Raw genomic sequence first — 24,075 nt, 5'->3', positions numbered from 1 at the left:
CCCAGACTGGAGTGCAGTGACTAGTCACAGGTGCAATTATAGTGTACTACAGCTTCAAACTGCTGGTCTCAAGTGATCCTTCTGCCTCAGGCTCCCCAGAAGCTGGGATTACAGGTACATGCCAGTGCGTCTGGCTCCAATCCTTTAATTTCAAATGTGAAGGATTACATATAATTCTCTCAAAGGTTATACTGCTTTTATCTTAAATAAACATAAAAAGAGCGCAAAGCCACCGCTTTCTTTACAAATATCCATTATGAACTCAAATGTGGACTTTGCAAACTTCAGAAATGTATCAGACCCTAACCTGGGATCTTTAGTGCCATTGATCAATTTTGTGCATACAGTAAGCACTCAATAAAAGTTGTTGAATGCATGAAGGAATGCATAAATGTTCTCTTTGGATATCTAGCCTTACTTTCCCGTCATTCAGCTTAGATGACCTGAGAAGCACTTCCTCAAAATAACCCTCTGGCTCACCATGAGAAGAATGCCTGGCACCAGCTGGCAGGAGATATTAATAGCATGCCCATTAGGCACATGTTCAAGGCACATAGATAGCTCAGTGATAGAATCTTTAGAATATTTGGACAGTTAACATTATTTCGAGTATGAATCAGTTGTGGTTCCTTAAATCCTCACTTTAAATATTAAAAACCAACCTCTATTTTTAAAAATTCTTAAAAAAATAGTAATGTGCAACAGCAATAATTGTTTGTGATTCTGAAGAACTCAGCATTTGGGGCTAAGAAAAGCAAAGTTCTAACAGCAGAATTCTTTCTTTTCTGTTTTTCTTTTTTTGGAGACAGAGTCTTACTCTGTCACCCAGGCTGAAGAGTAAGTGGACAATCACGGTTCACTGCTGCCTCGACCTCTTGAGCTCAGGTAATCCTCCCACCTCAGCCTCCTGAGCAGGGTAGCTGGGACTACAGGCAGATGTCCCCATGCCCAGCTAAGTTTTTGTATTTTTTGTAGAGATGGGGTTTTGCCATGTTGCCCAGGCTGTTCTCAAACTCCTGGACTCAAGCAATTTGCCTGCATTGGCCTCTCAAAGTGTTGGGAATACAGGTGTGAGTCACTGCACCCAGCCCTATTTTTTCTTGTAACAAAGATTCTTTTGAAGGATTCAGAGGCCAAAATAGAGAAAAGAATATGACCTTTCCCTTTAAATTTCAAGTTTTAGTATTTTACCTATCATTTACTACTGATAAGTCTCTTACCCACAAAACTATGTTCTATTCTTCCTTAGGCAACATTGGACTAAGAAACAGATATGCTGAAAATTACAAAATATCCTAGGTTACCCATTGTGACTTTTAGAGGAAATGGGAATGGGACTGATTTTTTAAAAATACATAATTCTGAAATATCTGAATCCTCACCAGACAGAATTAAACATTCCAGCTACAAATATATACTTTCTATTCAGCTCGCCTTGATCAAAATTTGGCATATATTTAGTTTAACTGGTAAGAGCCATAAGTTCTAACTATCCTTTTCTTGCTTTCTATAAAGTGCTCTATATTCTACATCACTTTATTTTTTTATTCACCACTATATTAATGAGGATACATCATTTTAGATAGCCATATAGATGTTCTATTTTCTGAGTCATTTTCTTAGTGTACAATGTCTCTAAATGTCTAAATCAGTTCACATAAAAAAAAGCAACTCTGAATTCTCAAACGCTCTGATGAAGAAACAATTTTACTAGGTATCCTGCACTGAGTTAGATAGAGAAAGTGAAAAATAAACAAGAATAAGATGTAGTTGGCACGGCGTGGTAGCTCATGCCTGTAATCCCAGCACTTTGGGAGGCCGAGGTGGGTGGATCACTTGAGGTCAGGAGTTTGAGACCAGCCTGGCCAATACAGTGAAACCCTGTCGCTATTAAAAATACAAAAATTAGCCAGGCATGGTGGCACATGCCTGTAATCCCAGCTACTCGGGAGGCTGAGACAGGAGAATTGCTTGAACCTGGGAGGTGGAGGTTGCAGTGAGCTGAGATCGTGCCACTGCCTCTAGCCTGGGTGACACAGTGAGTCTCTGTCTCAAAAAAAAAAAAAAAAGATGTAGTTGCTAGACTGGGCATGGTGGATCTCTCCTGTGTTTCCAGCACTTTGGAAGGCCGAGGCAGGTGGATCACTTGAGGCCAAGGCCAGGAGTTCAAGACCAGCCTGACCAACATGGTGAAACCCCATCTCTACTAAAAATACAAAAATTAGCAGGGTGTGGTGGTGCACGCCTGTAGTCCCAGCTACTTGGGAGACTGAGGCAGGAGAACTGCTTGAACCTGGAAGGTGGAGGTTGCAGTGAGCTGAGACTGTGCCATTGCACTCCAGGCCTGGGTGACAGAATGAGACTCCATCTCAAAAAAAAAAAAAAAAAAAAATAGGTAGTTGCTGACCTCGAAGAACTTTCCATCTAGATGGGTAAATTACACAGGAAATGATAGCTAATGAGATAAGAGAAATGCTCTGCTGTGTGGTACAGAGAAAACAGTTGCTTTATAGGCAGAGAAATAGGTATATCCACTGCACTTTGGGTAGAGAGGCAAATAAGGCTGGAGAGATAGAGCTACATTATAGAGGCGCGTGGAAGTCTGAAAGAAACATTTAGATTTGATGGATTTGATGTGGTAGTGAATGGGGCCGTGAGATGTTTTTGCAAAGCAGGATAAATTTTCGTGCAAGAGAGGAGTTAGGAATAAAAATCAGGCAGGTCAACTGGAAACCTGATTAATGTAGGTATAATTTTCTGTTAGCATACAGTTGTCTGTTGGTATCCACGGGATGCATGGTTCCAGTGTACATTCTCCACCTCCTGTGGATACCAAAATCCATGAGTGCTCAAGTCCCTTACATACAATTGGTATAATATTTGCATACAACCTACGCATATCCTCCCATATACTTTAAATCATCTCTAGATTACTTATAATACCTAACAAAATGTAAATGCTATGTGAATAACTGTATTAAGGAATAATGACAAGAAAAAAAGTCGGCACATACTCAGCATAGATGCAATCATCCATTCTTTTCGCGAATATTTTTGATAAGCGGTTGGTTGAATTCACACATGTGAAACCCATGGATATAGAGGGCTGACTGTACTTTTAAACATTATCTCACAAGATAACTAGTGGGTCTTCTAAATATTCTCTTGGTTTTGTAAAGCCTTTCATAGTTTCAATTACAATATATGCATTAATTCCAAATCACTCTCCCTAACATGTATGTGAAGGAATGTAGGCAGTTGAATAAAAATGAGAGAAAGAAAAAAAAAAAGCACAATGAATTTTAATCTGAATATTCTTGATACAAAGCATTTGTAGCTCATCTGAAATTAATGTGAAAATAAAAACAAGGTCCTTATCATCGAATCTAATTCTACATAAATTCTTATGCACACTTCTACAAACCACTAAATTTATTTAAATATATATGAAATACATGATTATTAGTGTTTTATTTTGTGAGAAATTTAATATTTATGCAGAGTAAGAATAAAGGACTTTGTCACTGAACTCAGCACATTATCAGAAAGCACAAATGTAATTACATTCATCTTGAGTAGATAAATAAAATAAATATATATTGATTTTACCTTTGCTTTAGTCGTCTTTTGGCTGTTGTGGGAACATTAGCACCATAGCCGTAGGAAAAAAGAACCCTTTCAGCCTCATCTTCATTTTCAACTGGAAAATATTAAAGTGTATAATGTGAAATAACTTTATTTTTCCTTTAAAAAAGATGGCAGAAGTGAAAATAAAGGAGGTTATAACAAATTAGGGAGGATAAAAACATTAGAAAGGGCTAATATGTAATCTTAAACAGCCCATTTGTAAGTAGAAACATATTTCTTAAAGTATATCCTTGCTTGAATTTGCTCCATTTATTTTTGAAATGTATAAGGGATTGCATCATATCATGTTAGGTTTTCTTGTTAAAAAGTATAATAATACATGTATTATTCTGAAGGACTCAAAGGCTTTTTGCATGAAATATGCTATGTAATATAACAAATAATGATAACATATCAAAGTCATCAATTCTGTTCTTGATAAATGATTTTTAAATTAGGACAAATATTATTTTATCAGAACAACTTTATTTTAATTTGCAACAATAAAATTATGTACTTATGTAGGTTACTCTATTAAAAACTGTGCAGCTCTAAGCATGTATTGATGGCCTTACTTTTTTTAAATGTAAAAAAATTATGTGAAAATAATTTACTTTTAAATTCTGCTATTGTCACACTACTTCCCAAAAGGAATTTTAACTAACAGGTTAACATCTTCTGGGTAAAAAACTTGAAATGCAATGACATTTTACTGCAAGTTGGGATTAAAAAAATATATATATATATATATTTTTTGAGATGGAGTTTCGCTCTTGTTGCCCAGGCTGGAGTGTAATGGCGTGATCTCTGCTCACAGCGACCTCTGCCTCCCAGGTTCAAGCGATTCTCCTGCCTCAGCCTCCCCAGTAGCTGGGATTGCAGGTGCCCACCACCAAGCCCGGCTAATTTTTTTTGTATTTTTAGTAGAGACAGGGTTTCGCCATGTTGGCCAGGCTGGTCTCAAACTCCCAACCTCAGGTGATCTGCCTGCCTCAGCCTCCCAAAGTGCTGGGATTACACGTGTGAGCCACCGCACCTGGCCAAAAAACATTTCATCATCAAAAAAAACCCCCAAAACACCAAAAAAAGTATTTCATCAAAGGCTATAGTTTTAATAGCTCAAGTAAAAGCAGTCATTGACATATAAAAACTTTCATAATATTATTTATCACCAGCCATTATTTTAATGTTAAAAAGATATTCACTTTCAGGAATATTTCAGAATTAAAACAAAGCCACATATTTTACAACCATCATGATGTTTCATCTTCTGCATGCCTATCAATGTAATAGGGATACATTTGTTGATTGGCCCTTCTGTAGTAAAGATTTTAGAAACATTTATTAACTGTTTTCTTTTAATTTTGTCCCTATCTTTCATGGTGAATCAGGATTAGCTTTCTGAGGAAGAATTATTAGTTGAGAGAGACACATGGAAGAGATGATACATGCCATTACCAATACTATGATCAGCTAGCAGGTAAGTCCAGATCCAAGATGAGTTCTCCAAATAAGCTCTACTGGAACTAGAGCTAACATTTAGATATGTAACTGACTCTTGTTTCTCCTTAATAGTTCTAAATTCAGAGGAGAGAGGGGTAAATTTAGTTCACATCTCAAAAACCCATAAGTTAGATATTAATGGACATGCTAAATGTGAGTTTAATACTTAATGGATTAATAAATCATGGGATAACTATTCTAGCAGGGATTAATTACAGAAACAATGTATTATACAACTTGGTCAATGCTACTAAAGGGATCTGAACAATGCTATTAAAGAGATCTGAACAATGTGTCTTAGAAGCAGAGCGCAGGGCAACTGCATCTGAGTGCCACTATTTCCCATGCTACAAGGTATAGGGTAGATATGGGGAGACTGAGATTCAGTGAAGGAATAGGAGAGAAGTCCATGTGCAGAAGCATAGACTTGTAAGGTATGTGAAGTTTTAATCCACAGGATTAAGTCCCTTATATAAAATGGTATATATATATATATCTGCATATAACATATCTACACCTTCACATACACTTTAAACCATGTCTGCATCACTTACAATACCTAACACAATGTACATGCTATATATAATAGTTGTTATATTGTATTTTTAAAAATGTATTATTTTTTATTATTGTCTTTTCCCCAATATTTTCAATCCACAGGTGATTAAATCTGAGATGCAGTATCTGCTAATAGAGAGAGCAACTGTACAGAAAAATTAGGAAGTTTCAGGGAAGAAAGAGGAAATGCAAATAATGTTAAATTTTCAGCTGTGCATGGTGGCTTATGCCTATAATCCCAGCGTTTTGGGAGGCCCAGGCAGGGGGATCCCTTGAGGCCAGGAGTTTGAGATCACTCTAGGCAACATAGTGAGACCGTGTCTCTACAAAAAATAATTAGTTGGGCATGATGGCATGTGTCTGTAGTCTCAGCTACTTGGGAGGATGAGGCAGGGGGAATCACTTGAGCCCAGGAGTTTGAGACTGCAGTGAGCTATGATTGTACCACTGCACTCCAGCCTGGGCAACACAGTGAGACCCTGTGTCTAACTATAGAAATTACTAGCCTATTGATAGTAACTGAAGTTGCGGAAAGGGAAAAGATTATCCAGAAGTTAAGTGATGGAAAATAAACAAAGGCAGGTGATTCAAGAAGCAAAGAGAAGGGAGTTCTGAGAAATTCGACAAATGCCTAGTGAAGGTTATAAGTATGATGAGGATGTGTGGCAGGTAACTGAATTTAACAACTAGAAATCTAGGTTGTTTTTTTTTTCTAATATGAGTTTATTTAGCTTTTAGACAATACTTATACTTTTAACAACTTGATGAAATCTTTGAAAACTAAACTCAAATATCCAAATAATACTTATTTGATTACAGAAAGCAATACAAGTATAAATAAGATACTTTAATTTGCTATGGTTACACCTTAATAAATGAAGGCTAATCACCTTCATGTCGGCTAAAATTACCCGAATTAAATGGCAAGCCTTTGAAAATTGTATACAATGTAGTACTAAAAATAGTCTGTTGAAAAAAGTCAGCCGAAATTACCTGAATTAAATGGCAAGCCTTTGAAAATTGTACACAATGTAGTACTAAAAAAAGTCTGTGCTCACTTCTTTGAAATTTTAGTTAATCGATAAGTATTCATTAAATAAGGACAAGGTATATTTTAATTTCCAATGTGAACTGATAGAGAACCTAGTTACTGATCTTCTAGTACAGGTAAATCTATTTTATTTGAAGTTGGTTTAGATAGTATCATAACAAAAATTAATTTCTATTTTTCTGCAGCTTTTAAGAAAATATTTATACATGTGGACACACTGAAAAAATGTACAGTATACATCCATATACTCAACATCTGCAATTTTTTTTTTTTTTGAGACAGAGTCTCATTCTGTCACCCAGACTGGAGTGCAGTGGCGTGAACACAGTCACTGCAGCCTTGACGTTCAGGGCTCAGGCGATCATCCCACCTCACCCTCCCATGTAGCTGGCACCACCATGCCTGGTTCATTTTTTATTTTTTTGTAGAGATGGTCTTGCCAGGTTGCCCCGGCTGGCCTTGAACTTCTGGGCTCAAGCAATCGTCCTGCCTTGGTCTCCCAAAATGCTGGGGTTAAAGGCATGAGCCACTGTGCCTGGCTCCAACATCTGGATTCTAAATCAAACATACTATGTGTTTATTATACATATATCCACCCGTTTCCATGAATGTTTTTTTGATGCATTTCAAAGAAAGTTGTGGACATTTGCACACTTCACTCCTCAACAGTTTAACATGCAAATCATCAATTATAATTCAATATGTATTTACAGTTATTTTCTAAAAAATAAGATTTGTAACTTTCACCATGTATAAATTTTATTTTTATTTTTTAAGTCTACCATTCAACGAGTTTTGAAATGTAAAAGTTTTGAAATGTACAGACATGTGTTTAACACAAACCCTATCAAGATATATAGAACATCTGAATACCCTGGAAAGTTCCATGTCACTTTTCTCAGTTAATTTTTGGTGACAATCATCTTTAGAGACAACTACAGTTCTGATTTTTGTCTTTTTAAAAATAAAAAAAAAAATTTTTACCCCCACCCCTTGATTTTTTTCATCATAGATTACTTCTGTCTCTTCTAGAACTTTATATAATCATATAGTATAATCATACTATATACTATAATCATACAGTATAATCATACTATATACTATAATCATATAGTATAATCATACCATATACTATAATCATATAGTATAATCATACCACATACTATAATCATACAGTATAATCATACTATATTATATAAAGTACACTTTATGTTTTTCAGATTCATCCATGTTGTTAAGTAAGTCAATTGTTTCCTTCCAGTGAGGAGAAGTATTCTACTACATGAATGTATAATGGTTTGATTAACCATTTTCCTTTGAGATACACACCTGGGCTGTTGTCAGTTTTTGACTATTATGAATACATTTCCTATGAACATTCTAGAGGAAATCTTTTAAGGTGCATATGCTTTCTTCTCTCTTGGGTAAGTAACGGAAATGCTGGATCACTGATTAGGTTGTTTAATTATTTTGTAAGAAACTGCCAGTTGCTCCACTTCTCACCAACATTTGGTATAGTCAGTCTTTCTAATTTCAGCCATTCTTGTGGGTATACAGTGGTATCTCACTGGGCTTTTAATCTGCTTTTCCCTCATGACTAGTAATGTTGAATACTTTTATTATGCTTACTTGTCATTCACATGTCTTCCTTTGTGAAGTGTTTAAACCTTTTGCCCATGTTTTAAACAGGACTATTTTTTTTTTAATCACTGAGTTACATGAATTTTTAAATATATATTCTGGTACATTAATTTCCTACTGCTAACGTTAACAGATTGCCAGACTTTATGGTTTAAACAATACAAATTTATTATTTTATAGCTCTACAGGTAGTAAGTCCAAAAATCAGCCTCACTGACCTGAAGTCAATGCTTTGTAGGGCTGGTTCTGTGTGAAGGCTCTATGGTGAAATCTGTTTCCTTGCCTTTTCCAGCTTTTTCAGAGGTTCCAAAGATGAGGACATGGACATCTTTCTTTTCTTTTCTCTTTTCTTTCCTTCCTTCCTTTTCCTTTCTCTTTCCTTCCTTCCTTCCTTCTTCCCTTCCTTTCTTTCCTTCTCTCTTTCTCTTTTTTTCTAGAGATGGGGTCTCACCATGTCAGGCTAATCTTGAACTCCTGAGCTCAAGTGATCCACCTGCCTCAGCCTCCCAAAGTGTTGGAATTACAGGCATGAGTCACTATGCCCAACAGGACATGGACATCTCTAGAAGGATGTTTTTCAGCCCACCACATTTGGGTATCATTTTCTTTTGTTTAATCTATGTTTTGTGAATATTTTCTCCTCAATATTTTCTTATTTTGGGTATCATTCTTTTGTCAGATATAAAATTGTGGTTATTTTCTTTGAGTCTGTGGCTTGGCTATTCATTTCTTAATGGTGTCTTTTGAAGAACAGAAGTTTTAAATTTTGATGACATCTACTTTATCAGTTTTTCTTTTATGATAATTACATTCAAGGGCCATGTCAAAAAAAGTCTTAATGTACTCCACGTTGTAAAGATAACTCACCTATGTTTTCTGTTACATATTTATAGTTTTAGCTATTCCATTTAGGTATCGTCTCAGATTAATATTGGTGTATGGAAGTTTACTTCCATAAAGATGTCCAATTTTTTTTTAGCACCATTTATTGAACAAACTTTCCTTTCTCCATTTGTTTGCTTTGCTGCCTTTGTTAAAAATGAAATTATTATTTAAGTATGGATCTGTTTCTGGGTTTTCTAGTCTGTTTCATTGCTGTATTTGTCTTTCCTTAAGCCAGTACTGTATTATCCTGATATTGAAGCTTTATAGTAAATCTTGAAAACAGGTAGTGCAATTCTTCCAATTTGTTCTTTTTTTTGTGGAGGAGAGGAGGTCACGCTATGTTGCCCAGGCTGGAGTGCAGTGGGTATTCACAGGCATGATCATCGCACCCTACAGGCTTTAACCTCTAAGCTCAAGCAATCCTCCTGCCTCAGCCTCCTAGGTAGCTGGGACTGCAGGAGTGCACCACCACACAGGGCTTCAACTTTTTTCAAGATTGCTTTGGATATTCCAGTCCTCTGCACTCCATATGAATGAAATACAAAAAAGCCTCCTGCCACTGTGACTAGAAGAACACTGAATTGATAGAATTCACAATATATTTCGTGATTTTGGGGGGAGTGGTTCTTTAATTTCTCTTAGCAATGATCTGTAGGGTTTTTTGGCTTAAATTTATTCCTAAGTATTTTGTGTTTTTTGTTGCTACTTACTTCTCCAATTGTTTACTTCTAGTATATTTTTGGGTAATGACTATATATTCTGCTATATTCACTTATCAGGTTTAGTAGTTGTTTGGTAATCTGAAAATAGATTCTTACTATTCCTTTCTGATTTTTATATATATCTTCTCTTATCCTTATCTCACAGGTTAGGAATTCAAATACAGCACTTAATATGTCATATAAATCATGAAAATAGGAAACCCTGTTTTACTCTCCCCCTCAATGGGGAAAGTATTCAATATTTCACCATTAAGTACAATTTTAGCTGTTGGTTTTTATAAATGCCCTTTTTCAGATCGAGGAAGTTCCCTTCTATTCCTAATTTGTTTAGACAAAGGGAAATATGCAAAGTTACGGAGGTAAGAAAGAGTATGAAACTTTCAAAACAATAATATGATATGGAGGGGAATGGCAAGATATGAAAGCAGAAAGATAAACATGAGTCTAATCATGAAGTCATGTAAAGAAATTTGACTTTATTGTCTTAATGAAGACAATAAAAGTCATTAAAGCCAGCATATGATATGAAAATTTGAATGTTACAAAGATTACTTTGACTCCAGTGAAGAAATTGAAGATAAATTTAAAATCTATTGCAGTTATCAGACATTGACCTTGGAAATGGGAAATAGGACAATGATAGGAAAGAAATAAGTTTTTCTTACATTTGGCCTACAAGTAAATACAGTCCTTATGCAAAAATGTGCCTAAAATAATTAGAACCCTACCTAGATTCAAATTCAACTTCAACTGAAGTTTAAACCCATTTTTATAAGAATGCCATGGTTATCTGACTTTTGAACACAAATAATGTACTGTAGCAAACATCACAGCCAATGGTGAAATGTTAATTTAAAATATTTATTAACGTTAGGGATAAGACAGGAAGATAACAAGAGGGGAAAACAAGAAAAAAGGAAAACAGAAATTAAAGATCAAAGATTATAACACAGTACCCTCAAATGAATTTTTATTTGTACTTCAAGACTCATTCCAAGGCTGGGCACAGTGGCTCACGTCTGTAATCCCAGCATTTTGGGAGGTCGAGGCGGGCAGATCACCTGAGGTCGGGAGTTTGAGACCGCCTAACCAACATGGAGAAACCCCGTCTCTACTAAAAATACAAAATGAGCTGGGTGTGGTGGCGCATGCCTGTAATCCCAGCTACCCGGAGGCTGAGGCAGAAGAATCGCTTGAAACCGGGAGGCAGAGGTTGAGGTGAGCTGAGATCACACCGTTGCAATCCAGCCTGGGCAACAAGAGTGAAACTCCGTCTCAAAAAAAAAAAAAAGAAAAAAGAAAAGACTAATTGCAGTGTCATCTCCTCTCTTAGATATGCCTCACCTCCTTTAAAGGTGGGATTAATTAATGATCTCTTTTGTATTTCCACTGAGAACTGCATATTTTTTGCTTATAGCATTTATCTTGCTACTCTAATTATTTGTTATTATGTTCACCTCTCTCAGTAGATTAGAAACCCCTTGAGACGGGAATTATTTCCATGAACTCCTAATCCCCAGTTCCTGACAGATGTAAATACTTAACAATTCTGGAGTAAGTGAATTTGATAAAAAATTGAACAGATAAAAGCTATCATATTTAACCTGTTTCTTTTTTGACTGCAATTTCTAAGATGAAGATGAACAAATATTTGAAATACAGAATTTTATTTAGAAATAGTCACCAATTATATTTTAAGAAAATATACCGAAGTAGTTTTATTTTTTTCTTTTCTTTTTTTTTTGAGACAGTATTACTCTGTTGCCTGAGCTGGAGTACAGTGGCATGATTTCGGCTCAACGCGACCTCTGCCTTCCGGGTTCAAGCAATTCTCCTGCCTCAGCCTCTGGAGTAGCTGGGATTCCCCAGTATCACTCCTGGGTAATTTTTTTTTGTATTTTTAGTAGAGATGGGGTTTTGTCACGTTGGCCAGGCTGGTCTCGAACTCCTGACCTCAAGTGATTTGCCCACCTTGGCCGCCCAAAGTGCTAAGATTACAGGCATGAGCCACCGTGCCTGATCCCAAAGTAGTTTTAGAAATAAGGTCAGGCGTCTTTTGTTGCCAGAAAAAAAAAAGTTGTGCATGTGTGTGTGGGGGAAGACTTACTTTCTGCAGTTTGCATTATTATTTCATCAAGCTCTTTTTCCAGTTTCTCATAAATGTCTAGCCTTGCTTGATGCTCTGAGTTCTGTGCTTGAAGTTCAGTAATGCGTTTTTCAGAAGAGGCTTGGAGACTATAAAATTCTTTGGTTAAAACCTAATAGTGAAAGAGAAGAATTACAAAGGCAGAATTAAACAGGTGCACAGTTAAGACAAAAACATGATGCAAAGACATTCATAGGGCTTTTTTTGTTATTTAAATATTAAGAGAAAGTAGCTCAATTAAGATGACTAATGAGGAAATTAAATATATTTATTTCTAAGGTAAATAATTCAGTTGTTTTTAACTGAAAATTATGAAGTACCTTATCCTTATTTTATAAGCTGAATAAAAAATGAATTTAAAATTAGGAATAATTATAGGAGTAATATTAGCATTTGCTTGTTAGAATTTAAAAAAATACAATGTCATATTTACATAGAGGTCATTTATCTGGCAATCAAAGCCATTTGACAGAGGCTTACAAAGCTGTTTGTAAAAACGATATACTGACAATAAATCCTTCAATTTTCCATCAGAGCTTATTGAATTACCCTTACTATGATCTTAATAACATTTTTGGTTTTCTGAACAGTCATAAATTCAAAGCAGGAAATCAAAAGGTAAATGTGAAGTACTGCTTGAGGCAGTATCAGAAAATGCCTTTGTGAACAACTAAAACACATTAAAAATGAGATGCAAAGGGCATGGAAATTGGAGTCATTTTGTATACAAGCAAAAAATCCTACACTCCAATGGTAATTCATTGAAGGAAACACCATGATGACAACAATAAATTAACTAAAAAAAGAGATGCCTCTAGTGATACGGAAATGTTTTAATGCTTAAATTCCAATTATCTAGAATGCTTACTTATTTTTACAGACTAAATTATGGAGTGGTATTACACCTGCTTTCTAATACAACATAATATACTGTTTCCTGAGAGGCAACAGACTACTACAGTGAAGAATATGGTTTGGAGCCAGAAAAATTTGGATTTCAATATGGCTTTGACACTTACTAGCTGTGATCTTAGGCAATTACTTATTCTTTATAGGCCTACCTTAAAACACTGTTGAAAGAAATTAAATGAGATGATAAATTTACAGTGCTTAGCAGAGTACCTAGAACATAGTGTTGAAAAGTACTATTGCTACTGTAAGAAATATAACTATATGACAATTCTGCATGAAATAGTTCATGCAAATAGAGTTCCACTAATTTAATTATCTTGAATTCTCTACAATTAAACACTTTTAAAGACAACTATTTTCTCTAATGACATAAAGTTCACAATACAAAATGTGTATGATTATATGTTTTCTGTGATGTGGAAAAAGGGAGAAGGAAGACCTATTTACAGTTCTCAATGAGCAGAAATTATAATTTTCCTTAACTTATTTCAGATCATTTCCTTCAATTTTCAGCAAAACTTTCCCCCAAAGTAAACAAAACATTATCCCTCACTCTCCATATACATTCCTTTGGAGAGTGGAGAAGGAATAAAATGGGAACAGCATTTTTATGGTGATTTCCAGTGGCTCTGGTTGGGTCAGAAAAAACAAAATGTGTGTTTTAGCATTATTTCTTCTTTATTCTTGCTTGTTGGGAATGTGTTTTCTAGAAACTTGTTAATTCATTATAAAAAAATCATTACTCAGTGACATTATCTGGGGCTTACATGGAGTTCATTACATTGGGATGTAATTCATTAAGAATCTGGTGGCTGATGAAACTAATTCCACTGTCAAAAGAGAGAATCAGTAAAGGCAGTGTTAAATGACTATTCCCACAGCAGAGCTGATACTTTTTCATTTGTACCCCACCTCCCCCTGCAAAACCACCACACGAAGAAAAACAGGAGAAATGATTAGAGATAAGGAATCAAAATGTTGAAGATGGGATATTTTATAAGATATTATTTTAAGGAGAGATTTAAAAACCATTACGAGAGATGTAATTTAAAAAATATCTTCATAATGTGAAAGAGAGGTCCTGAAAAACTACTGATGTGGGCTATCTCCCAATACCTCTAGTACCCCATATTAGAGAATTTTCTGTTTCTGTGGATTTGTCTGAGTGGTTGTTATAAGTAAACCTATTACTGCTTCTGAAATGCCAAAGAGAACTTGACTGTTGGACCCATGGTAGGCTATAATATTAAGGATTTGTTTTAATAAAAATCAATACATGAACATTTCAGTTTAAATATGGATACATAAAATAAGCCCATTAATTTTAGGAATCCATTAAATATAAAGTTCTCACAGTAAAATTTTCCTTCCTTTGAATAATACATGTATTAACTGAATAATACAAAGATTAAATAATGATAATACAAAATTATAATTTTGCCTTAAACAGAGACAAATATATAAAGCCAACGCTTCTGGGAGCCTTTGCCAATTAATAATTAAGCAAAAATAAATAATCTCCAAATTAACAATCAATGAGAATACTGGGTAAAAGCCCAGAAAAGTCCATTATCTTTACCATGATGAAATTATTTCTCTATAAATTAATTATAAATAAGAATTGTCTTAAAAATACTTTGTAGAATCCCCCCCACCAAAAGATTCAAACTATGATACTACATTATTCTTAATCAAACCATTCATTCATCAAGTATTTATTGAGGATTCATTATGAGAGAGGCACTGTGTTAAGCACTGCTGACACAATGATAAATGAATAATCTCTCTGCTTTCTCAAGGCTTCAGTTTAATAGGGGCACACAACGTTAAGAAATGCCCTCAAGCCTCAGTTTTAACAACCAGAATCTTTAGAACCACAACATTTTTTAGAAAGGTGTTTTTCCATATATGACCTTTAAACAAAGCATAATAATTACTAGTCACCTGCATCCAGAGACCAAGTTGACAGGTCTATGAGAGTCCTTTGCAAACTGCAAGTTGCAATTTTTTGGAGGTTATAAAATCAATTTTGTTTGTAACCAGCTAAAGGCAATAAAAAAAGGATGTGTGGGAGAATCACCTGCAACAGATTATGACTCTACAGCATTTTCCTGAAGAAAGTATAGGAAAAAAGTTTTAAATACTGAACATTGATTTGCTTTATAAGTAGACACCATCTACAAATTTTGCTTGTCTTTTTAAACATACATATATATTTAATATATTTTTATGTTTTTCACTAAGGCTTTATTTTCTGAGGCCCTTTAATTAGTTTCACTAATCAGAGTAATTTCCAGAAGTGTAATCTTGGAGAGATTACTGTAATAAATATTAAATATTGTGGTGGTTAAAAGTATGGGATTTACGCTGGGTGTGGTGGCTCACGCCGGTAATCCCAGCACTTTGGGAGGCTGAGATGTGCGGATCACGAGGTCAGCAGTTCAAGACCACCCTGGCCAACGTGGTGAAACCCTGTCTCCACTAAAAATACAAAAATTAGCCGGGTGTTGTGGTGCGTGCATGTAATCCCAGCTACTCAGGAGACTGAGGCAGGAGAATTGCTTCAACCTGGGAGACAGAGGTTGCGGTGAGCTGAGATCATGCCATCACACTACAGCTTGGGTGACAGATAGAGTGAGACTCTGTCTCCAAAAAAAAAAAAAAGTATGGGATTTAAAGTGAGGTTGGTCAGGTGTTAAGGTCTAATCACAGTTCAGTCACTTACTAGTTGTGCGATATTAAATAATATAACCTCTCTAGAACAAAAAAGTAGAAATAAAACATTAAAATGAGTCAAGGCTGATTTGTTAGTTAACAACCCCCCTTTATGGTGTATTTCTTCAAAATCTTTTATTCTCACCTTAGACATTAAAAAAAAATCCAGTGCATACAGCTGTGTAAAGGAATATTGTCACCTAGTATTATAAGTGTATTTTCTATATTATGTGGTCTTAAAATATCAAATGAATGCCATTAAAAAAGAAATATTTTGCCAGGCATGGTGGCTCACACTTGTAATCCCAGCACTTTGGGAGGACAAGGCAAGTGGATCACCTGAGGTCAGGAGTTTGAGATCAGCATGGCCAACACGGCAAAACCCTGTCTCTACTAAAAATACAAAAATTAGCTGGGTGTGGTAGCGTGCGCCTGTAGTCTCAGTTACTTCAAAGGCTGAGGCACAAGAATCGCTTGAACCTGGGAGGTGGAGGTTGTAGTGAGCCGAGACGGTGCCACTGCACTCCAGCCAGGGTGACAGAGCAGGACTCCTCCTCAAAAAAAAAAAAAAAAAAAAAAAAAGAAATATTTTGATATTTTGGATAAATGACAAATGTATGCAACACATGTATTTCCAAAATAAAGACAAACCAGTTCTATTTTATGATATTTATCCTGTAACTGAATTGCATTATAATTTGGGGGAAACTACTTTAATATCTGATTTTCAATTGAGAAAGGCTTCTAATTGAATAACTTTCAGTTTCTTTGCATTGTAGTTTCTGTTTAATGACCTATAATTTCATATTTTTGTAACTGTAAAATAAACCTTCATATGCAGAAAGGAAAATTGGAAGATTAAAATGCTTGAGTTTATTAGTGGGCACACTATTATGGGATCTGAAAAGTGAAAAAAAAAAAATCTTTTACCCAACAAATAATTATCTTTTGGGAAAGGATACTTCCATTTTCCCGTCATTTCCCAACTTAACTAAAACAAAATTCTATAGCATCAAAACAATATTTTGAGGATTTCTATGAATTGGTACTGAGCATAAATGGTTGTTTTATATGAGCCAAACAGATATAACAACATTATGAAACAGTTGCTATTATTATTCCCAAAGAAAATGAGTATTTTATCCAGAGAGTGGTGAGTAACTGGGTTCAAATCTTAGGTCTGTTGAGCCTAAAGCCCACAGGCCAATCCCTACCCAATACTGCCAGAAGAAATTCTATTTGGGCAGAAAATACCTTACATTTTTCTTTTATGATAAAACTAAGGAGAAAAGTTTTCAAATCCTACCACTGCCTAATAGTAAGGATGTGTATGCTCTGGTTAATTGTCTAGAGCATGCAGTCTAATACCAGAGTCATTAAATACATGTAGCTAATTTTAGATTTAATTTAATTAAGATTAACTAAAGAAGCTTGGTTCCTCAGTGAAGTAGCCATATTTCAAGTGCTAAATGATCACACGTGGCAAGTGGCTACTGAACTGGATATTGCAGATATAGAATATTTGCATCATTACAGAAAGCTCTATTCAAAGCCCTGTTCAAAATTCTTAGTTTCCTGAAGATAGGAATCATTTCTTAAAATTTGTGTAACTGGGCCCAGCACAGTGCTTACTGCCTAATAGACACTCAGTTACAAAGTACTGCATACTATCAATTCAATTAACTATGTGCCAGGTTCTGGCTGAGACCTAGAAGCATATTTTTAAAAAGGTCTTAGTCTAGGGGGGGAGAATGAAGATATAAAAATCACCCATAATTATACCATTTATAGATAAACTTTAATATCTGGATATATTTGGCTGGGCGCGGTGGCTCACGCCTGTAATCCTAGCACTTTGGGAGGCTGAGGCAGGGGGAATCACTTGAGGTCAGGAGCTTGAGATGAGCCTGGCCAACATGGTGAAACCTCGTCTCTACGAAAAACATAAAAACATTAGCTGGGCGTGGTGGTGCACGCCTGTAATCTTAGCTACTCGGGAGGCTGAGGTGGGAGGATGGCTTAAACTGGGGAAGCAGAGGTCGCAGTGAGCCGAGATTGTGACACTGCATTCCAGCCTGGGAGACAGAGTGAGACTGTCTCAAAAAAAAAAAAAAGATTTATTTCCTTCAAATGTTTTTCTATGTATATTGATGATTTTTACTGAACATGTAAACCATAGTCAAGACCATACTAATTTCCTAACTGCATCCTTCATTCCATGTTTTTAATTAGCCTTTTCCCCAAATCTAAAATACCCAAGAACATGCAGTGCATGGACACAGCAAAATACACAATTTATAATATGCTAATTGAAAACTTTATCTACTGTTGGACACTTAAGTTACTTCTAATTTTTACATAATAAATAATGCTGCGACATGCATCATTTATATAAACCTTTATACGTATCTCTATTTCCTTAGATAAAATTCCTTTAAGTAAAATTACTGGATCAGCTTTTTTTCTTTCCATTTTATTTTGGGGGTTTACTTAATATTTAAAAGCTGAGGAAAGATTAATACCACCCACTTGGTATATTGCCTACTGATGCAGAGACTATAGGCTCAGATGCCAACAATCAATTCTTTTTTTTTTTTTTAAAGCCACACAGCCCTTATTTATTAATTATTTTTCCGTAAGTTATTGGGGTACAGGTGGTATTTGGTTACACAAGTTAAGTTCTTTAGCGGTAATTTGTGAGATCCTGGTGCACCCATCAACCGGGGCAGTATACACTGCACTATATTTGTAGTCTTTTACCCTTTCCCTGTTCCACTCTTCCCCCCAAGTACCCAAAGTCCATTGTATCATTCTCATGCCTTTGCGTCCTCATAGCATAGCTCCCACATATCAGTAGAACATGTGACATTTGGTTTTCCATTCCTGAGTTACTTCCCTTAGAATAATAGTCTCCAATCTCATTTAGGTCACTGCAAATGCTGTTAATTCATTCCTTTTTATGGCTGAGCAGTATTCCATCATGTGTGTGTATACACACACACACACACATATACATACACACTACAGTTTCTTTATCCATTCGATTGATAGGCATTTGGGTTGGTTCCACGATTTTGCAATTGTGAATTGTGCTGCTATAAACATGTGTGTGCAAGTATCTTTTTCAAATAATGACTTATTTTCCTTTGGGTAGATGCCCAGTAATGGGATTGCTGGATCAAATGGTAGTTCTACTTTTAGTTCTTTAAGGAATTTCCACACTGTTTTCCATAGCAGCTGTACTAGATTACTTTCCCACCAGAAACGTAGAAGTGTTCCCTGATCGCCGCATCCATGCCAACATCTACTGGTTGGTTTTTTTTTTTTCTTGAGAAGGAGTCTCGCTCTTGTCACCCAGGCTGGAGTGTAGTGGCATGATCTTTGCTCACCGCAACCTCTTCTTCCCGGGTTCCAGTGATTCTCCTGCCTCAGTCTCTCGAGTAGCTTAGATTACAGGCACCTGCCACCATGCCTGGCTAATTTTTTATTTTTAGTAGACAGGGTTTCACATGTTGGCCAGGCTGATCTCGAACTCCTGTCCTCAGGTGATCCGCCTGCCTCGGTCTCCCAAAGTGTTGGGATTACAGGCGTGAGCCACCGTGCCCAGCCTACTGCTTTTTGATTCTTTGATTGTGGCCATTCTTGCAGGAGTAAGGGGGTACTGTATCGTGGTTTTGTTTTGCATTTCCCCAATCATTAGCAATGTTGAGCATTTTTTCATGTTTACTTGCCATTTGTATATCTTCTTTTGAGAATTGTCTATTCATGTCCTAAGCCCACTTTTTGATGGGATTGTTTTTTTTACTGATTTGAGTTCACTGTAGATTCCGGATATTCATCCTTTGTCAGATATATAGATTGTGAAGATTTTTCTCCCACTTTGTGGGTTGTCTGTTTACTCTGTTGACTGTTCCTTTTGCTGTGCGAAAGCTCTTTAATCAGGTCCCAGCTATTTAGCTTTTGTTTGTTTGTTTGTTTTTTGCTTTTTGTTTTGAGACGGAGTTTTGCTCTGGTTGCCCAGGGTGCAGCGGAATGGCGCAATCTCGGTTCACTGCAATGTACGCCTCCCGGGTTCAAGAGATTCTCCTGCCTCAGCCTCCCCAGTAGCTGGGATTACAGGCATGCACCACCACACCTGGCTAATTTTGTCTTTTTAGTAGAGACGGTGTTTCACCATGTTGGTCAGGCTGGTCTTGAACTCCCAACCTCATGTAATCTGCCTGCCTTGGCCTCCCAAAGTGCTGGAATTACAGGCATGAGCCACTGCACCTGGCCAGCTTTGTTTTTATTGCAATTGCTTTTGGGTTTCTGGTCATGGAATCCTTGCCTAAGCCAATGCCTAGAAGGGTTTTCTGATGTTAGGTTCCAGAATTTTTATAGTTTTGGGTCTTAGGTTTAAGTCCTTTATCCATCTTGAGTTGACTTTTGTATAAGGTGAGAGATGAGGATCCAGTTTCATTCTCCCACATGTGGCTAGCTAATTATCCCAGCACCATTTATTGAAAAGGGTGTCCTTTCCCCACTTTGTTTTTGTTTGCTTTGTCAAAGGTCAGTTGGCTGTAAGTATTTGGGTTTATTTCTGGTTCTCTATTCTGTTCCATTGGTCTATGTGCCTATTTTTATACCAGTACCACACTGTTTTGGTGACTATGGCCTTATAGTATAGTTTGACATCAGGTAGTGTGATACCTCCAGATTTGTTCTTTTTGCTTAGTCTTGCTTTGGCTATGCGGGTTCTTTTTTGATTCCACATGAATTTTAGAATTTTTTTTTCTAACTCTGGGAAGAATGATGGTGGTATTTTGATGGGGGTTGCATTAAATTTGTAGATTCTTTTGGCAGTATGGTCATTTTCATAATATTGATTCTACACATCCGTGAGCATGGGATGTGTTTCCATTTGTTTGTGTCATCTATGATTTCTTTCAGCAGTGTTTTGTAGTTTTCCTTGTAAAGGTCTTTCAACTCCTTTGTTAGGAATATTCTTAAGTATTTAATTTTTTGCAGCTATAGTAAAAGGGGTTGAGTTCTTGATTTGACTCTCTGCCTGGTCGCTGTTGGTGTATAGAAGTGCTACTGATTTGTGTACATCAATCTTGTATCCGGAAACTTTGCTGAATTGTTTAATCAGTTCTAGGAGCTTTCTGGAGTAGTACTTAGGGTTTTCAAGGTAAACGATCATATGGTCAGCAAACAGGGACAGTTTGACTTCCTCTTTACTGATTTGGATGCCCTTTATTTCTTTCTCTTGTTTGATTGCTTTGGCTAGGACTTCCAGTACTATATTGAAGAGGAGTGGTGAGAATGGGCATCCTTGCCTTGTTTCAGTTCTCAGCAGGGATGCTTTCAATTTTTCCCCATTCAGTATTATGTTGGCTGTAGGTCTGTTATAGATGGCTTTTATGATGTTAAGGTATGCCGATTTTGCTGAGGGTTTCAATCATAAAGCGATGCTGGATTTTGTCTAACGCTGTTTCTGCATCTATTGAGGTGTAATTTTTGTTTTTAATTCTGTTTATGTGGTTATCACATTTATTGACTTGCATACGTTAAACCATCCAGCATCCCTGGTATGAAACCTACTTGGTCGTGATGGATTATCTTTTTGATATGTTGTTGGATTTGGTTAGCTAGTATTTTGTTAAGGATTTTAGCATTTATGTTCATCAAAGATATCAGTCTGTAGTTTTCTTTTTTGGTTGTATCCTTTCCTGGTTTGGTATTAGGGTGATGCTGGCTTTATAGAATGAATTAGGGAGGGTTCCTTCTTTCTCTATCTTGTGAAATAGTGTCAAAAGGATTGGTACCAATTCTTCTTTGAATGTCTGGTGGAATTCTGCTGTGAATCCATCTGGTCCTGGACTTTATTTTTGGTAATTTTTAAATTACCGTTTCAATCTCGCTGCTTGTTATTGGTCTTTTTAGGGTATCTAATTCTTCTTGATTTAAGCTAGGAGGGTTGTATTTTTTCAAGGAATTTATCCATCTCTTTTAGGTTTTCTAGTTTATGTGTGTAATGATATTCACAGTAGACTTGAATAATCTTTTGTATTTCAGTGGTGTCAGTTGTAATATCTCCTGTTTCATTTCTCAGTGAGGTTATTTGGATTTTCTTCTTTTCTTGGTTAATCTTGTTAATGGTCTATCAATTTTTTTTTTTTTTTTCTGAGATGGAGTTTCGCTCTTGTTGCTCAGGCTGGAATGCAATGGTACGATCTCTGCTTACTGCAACCTCTGCCTCCCAAGCTCCAACAATTCTCCTACCTCAGCCTCCTGAGTAGCTGGGATTACAGGCATGAGCCACATGCCCGGCTTTATTTTTTTTTTTTTTTTGCATTTTTAGTATAGACAGGGTTTCTCCATGTTGGTCAGGCTGGACTCGAACTCCCAACCTCAGGTGATCCGCCCACCTCAGCCTCCCAAAGTGCTGGGATTACAGGCGTGAGCCACCGTGCCTGGCCTGATCTATCAATTTTATTTATCTTTTCAAAGAACCAGCTTTTTGTTTCATTTACCTTGTGTATTTCTTTTTGTTCAAATTTCATTTAGTTCTGCTCTGATCTCGGTTATTTCCTTTCTTCTGCTGGGTTTGGTTTATTCTTGTTTCTCTAGTTCCTTGAGGTGTGACCTTAGATTGTCTGTTTGTGCTCTTTCAGACTTTTTGATGTAGGTGTTTAGGGCCATCAACTTTCCTCTTGGCACTGCCTTAGCTGTATTCCAGAGGTTTGGGTAGGTTGTGTCATTACTGTCATTCAGTTCAAACAATTTTTAAATTTCCATCTTGATTTCATTTTTGACCTGATGCTCATTCAGGAGCAGGTTATTTAACTTCCATGTATTTGTGTGATTCTGAAGGTTCCTTTTGGAGTTGATTTCCAGTTTTATTCCACTGCAGTCTGACAGAGGGCTTGATATAATTTCAATTTTCTTAAATTTATTCAGGCTCATTTTATGGCCTATCAGATGGTCTATCTTGGAGAAAGTTCCATGTGCTGTTGAATAGGATGTGTATTCTGCAGTTGTTCGATGAAATGTTCTGTTTACATCTGTTAAGTCCATTTGTTCCAAGGTACAGTTTAAATCCAGTTAAATCCATTGTTTCTTTGTTGACTTTCTGTCTTAAAGACCTCTCTAGTGCTGTCAGTGGAGTACTGAAGTCCCCCACTATTACTGTGTTGCTGATTATCTCATTTCTTAGGTCTATTAGTAATTGTTTTATAAATTTGGGAGCTCCAGTGTTAGGTCCATTGTGATATTTTCCTGTTGGACAAGGCCTTTTACCATTATATAATGTCCCTCTTTGTCTCTTTTAACCACTGTTGCTTTAAAGTTTTTTTTGTCTGATGTAAGAATAGCTACCCCTGCTCGCTTTTGGTGTTCATTGCATGAAATGCCTTTTTCCACCCCTTTAAGTTTATGTGAGTCCTTATGTGTTAGGTGTGTCTCCTGAAGGCAGCAGATGGTTAGTTTGCAAGTTCTCATCCATTCTGTAGTTCTGCACCTTTTTTAAGTGGAGCATTTAGGCCATTTACATCTAATGTTAGTACTGAAATGTGAGGTACCATTGCATTCATCATGCTTTCTGTTGCATGTGTACTTTTTTTGTTGTTGTTTTTGATTTTTAACTTGTATTTTTGTTTTATAGGTCCTGTGTGATTTATGCTTTGAAGCAATTTTGTTTTGATGTTTCCAGGATTTGTTTCAAGATTTAGAGCTCCTTTGAGCTGTTCTTATAGTGGTGGCTTGGTAATGGTGAATTCTCTCAGCATGTATTTATCTGAAAATGACTGTATCTTTCCTTTATTTATGATGCTTAGTTTCACTAGATACAAAGTTATTGGCTTATAATTGTTTTGTTTGAGGATGCTGAAGATGGGATCCCCAATCCTTTCTAGCTTGTAGGCTTTCTGCTGAGGAATCTGCTGTTAATCTTATAGGTTTTCCTCTATAGGAAAACCTGGTGCTTCTGTCTCACAGCTCTTAAGATTCTTTCCTTCGTCTTAACTTTGGATAACCTGACGACAATGTGCCTAGGCGAAAATCTTTTTGCAATGAATTCCCCAGGTGTTCTTGGTGCTTCTCGTATTTGGATGTCTAGGTCTCTAGCAAGGCCAGGGAAGTTTTCCTCAATTATTCCCCCAAATATGTTTTCCAAGCTTTTAGAATTGTCTTCTTCCTCAGGAACACTGATTACTCTTAGGTTTGGTTGTTTAACATAATCCCAAATTTCTTGGAGGCTTTAGTCATATTTTCATATTCTTTTTTCTTTGTCTTTTTTGGATTGGGTTAATTCGAAGACCTTGTCTTCAAGCTCT

General features: G+C 36.3%; 1 protein-coding gene across 16 annotated transcripts in view; it reads right to left on the bottom strand.

The window, feature by feature from the left end:
• The window catches only part of PIBF1 (progesterone immunomodulatory binding factor 1), a 234,329-nt gene that overhangs the window by 95,686 nt on the left and 114,568 nt on the right, over window positions 1–24,075 (bottom strand). For 13 of the 16 annotated variants that reach the window (NR_146205.2, NR_146206.2, NM_001349655.2 and 10 more), the window contains 2 exons: window positions 12,095–12,245; window positions 3,610–3,700 (listed from right to left, as the gene is read on the bottom strand). Coding sequence is in view for 14 of the 16 variants with exons in the window: in NM_001349655.2 (NP_001336584.1) it covers window positions 3,610–3,700; window positions 12,095–12,245 (242 nt within the window). In the remaining 2 variants the exon portion in view is untranslated. Of the gene's footprint in view, window positions 1–3,609; window positions 3,701–5,101; window positions 5,205–12,094; window positions 12,246–24,075 lie in introns of those variants that run through there. The other 3 variants (XM_011534886.4, XM_047430050.1, XM_017020351.2) reach the window with 2 other exon arrangements.

The sequence above is a fragment of the Homo sapiens genome, chromosome 13 (assembly GCF_000001405.40).
Source record: "Homo sapiens chromosome 13, GRCh38.p14 Primary Assembly".
NCBI classification, from domain to species: Eukaryota; Metazoa; Chordata; class Mammalia; order Primates; family Hominidae; genus Homo; species Homo sapiens.
The sequence above is the reverse complement of the archived record's forward strand: the minus strand, read 5'-3'. Positions and strand labels throughout refer to the sequence as shown.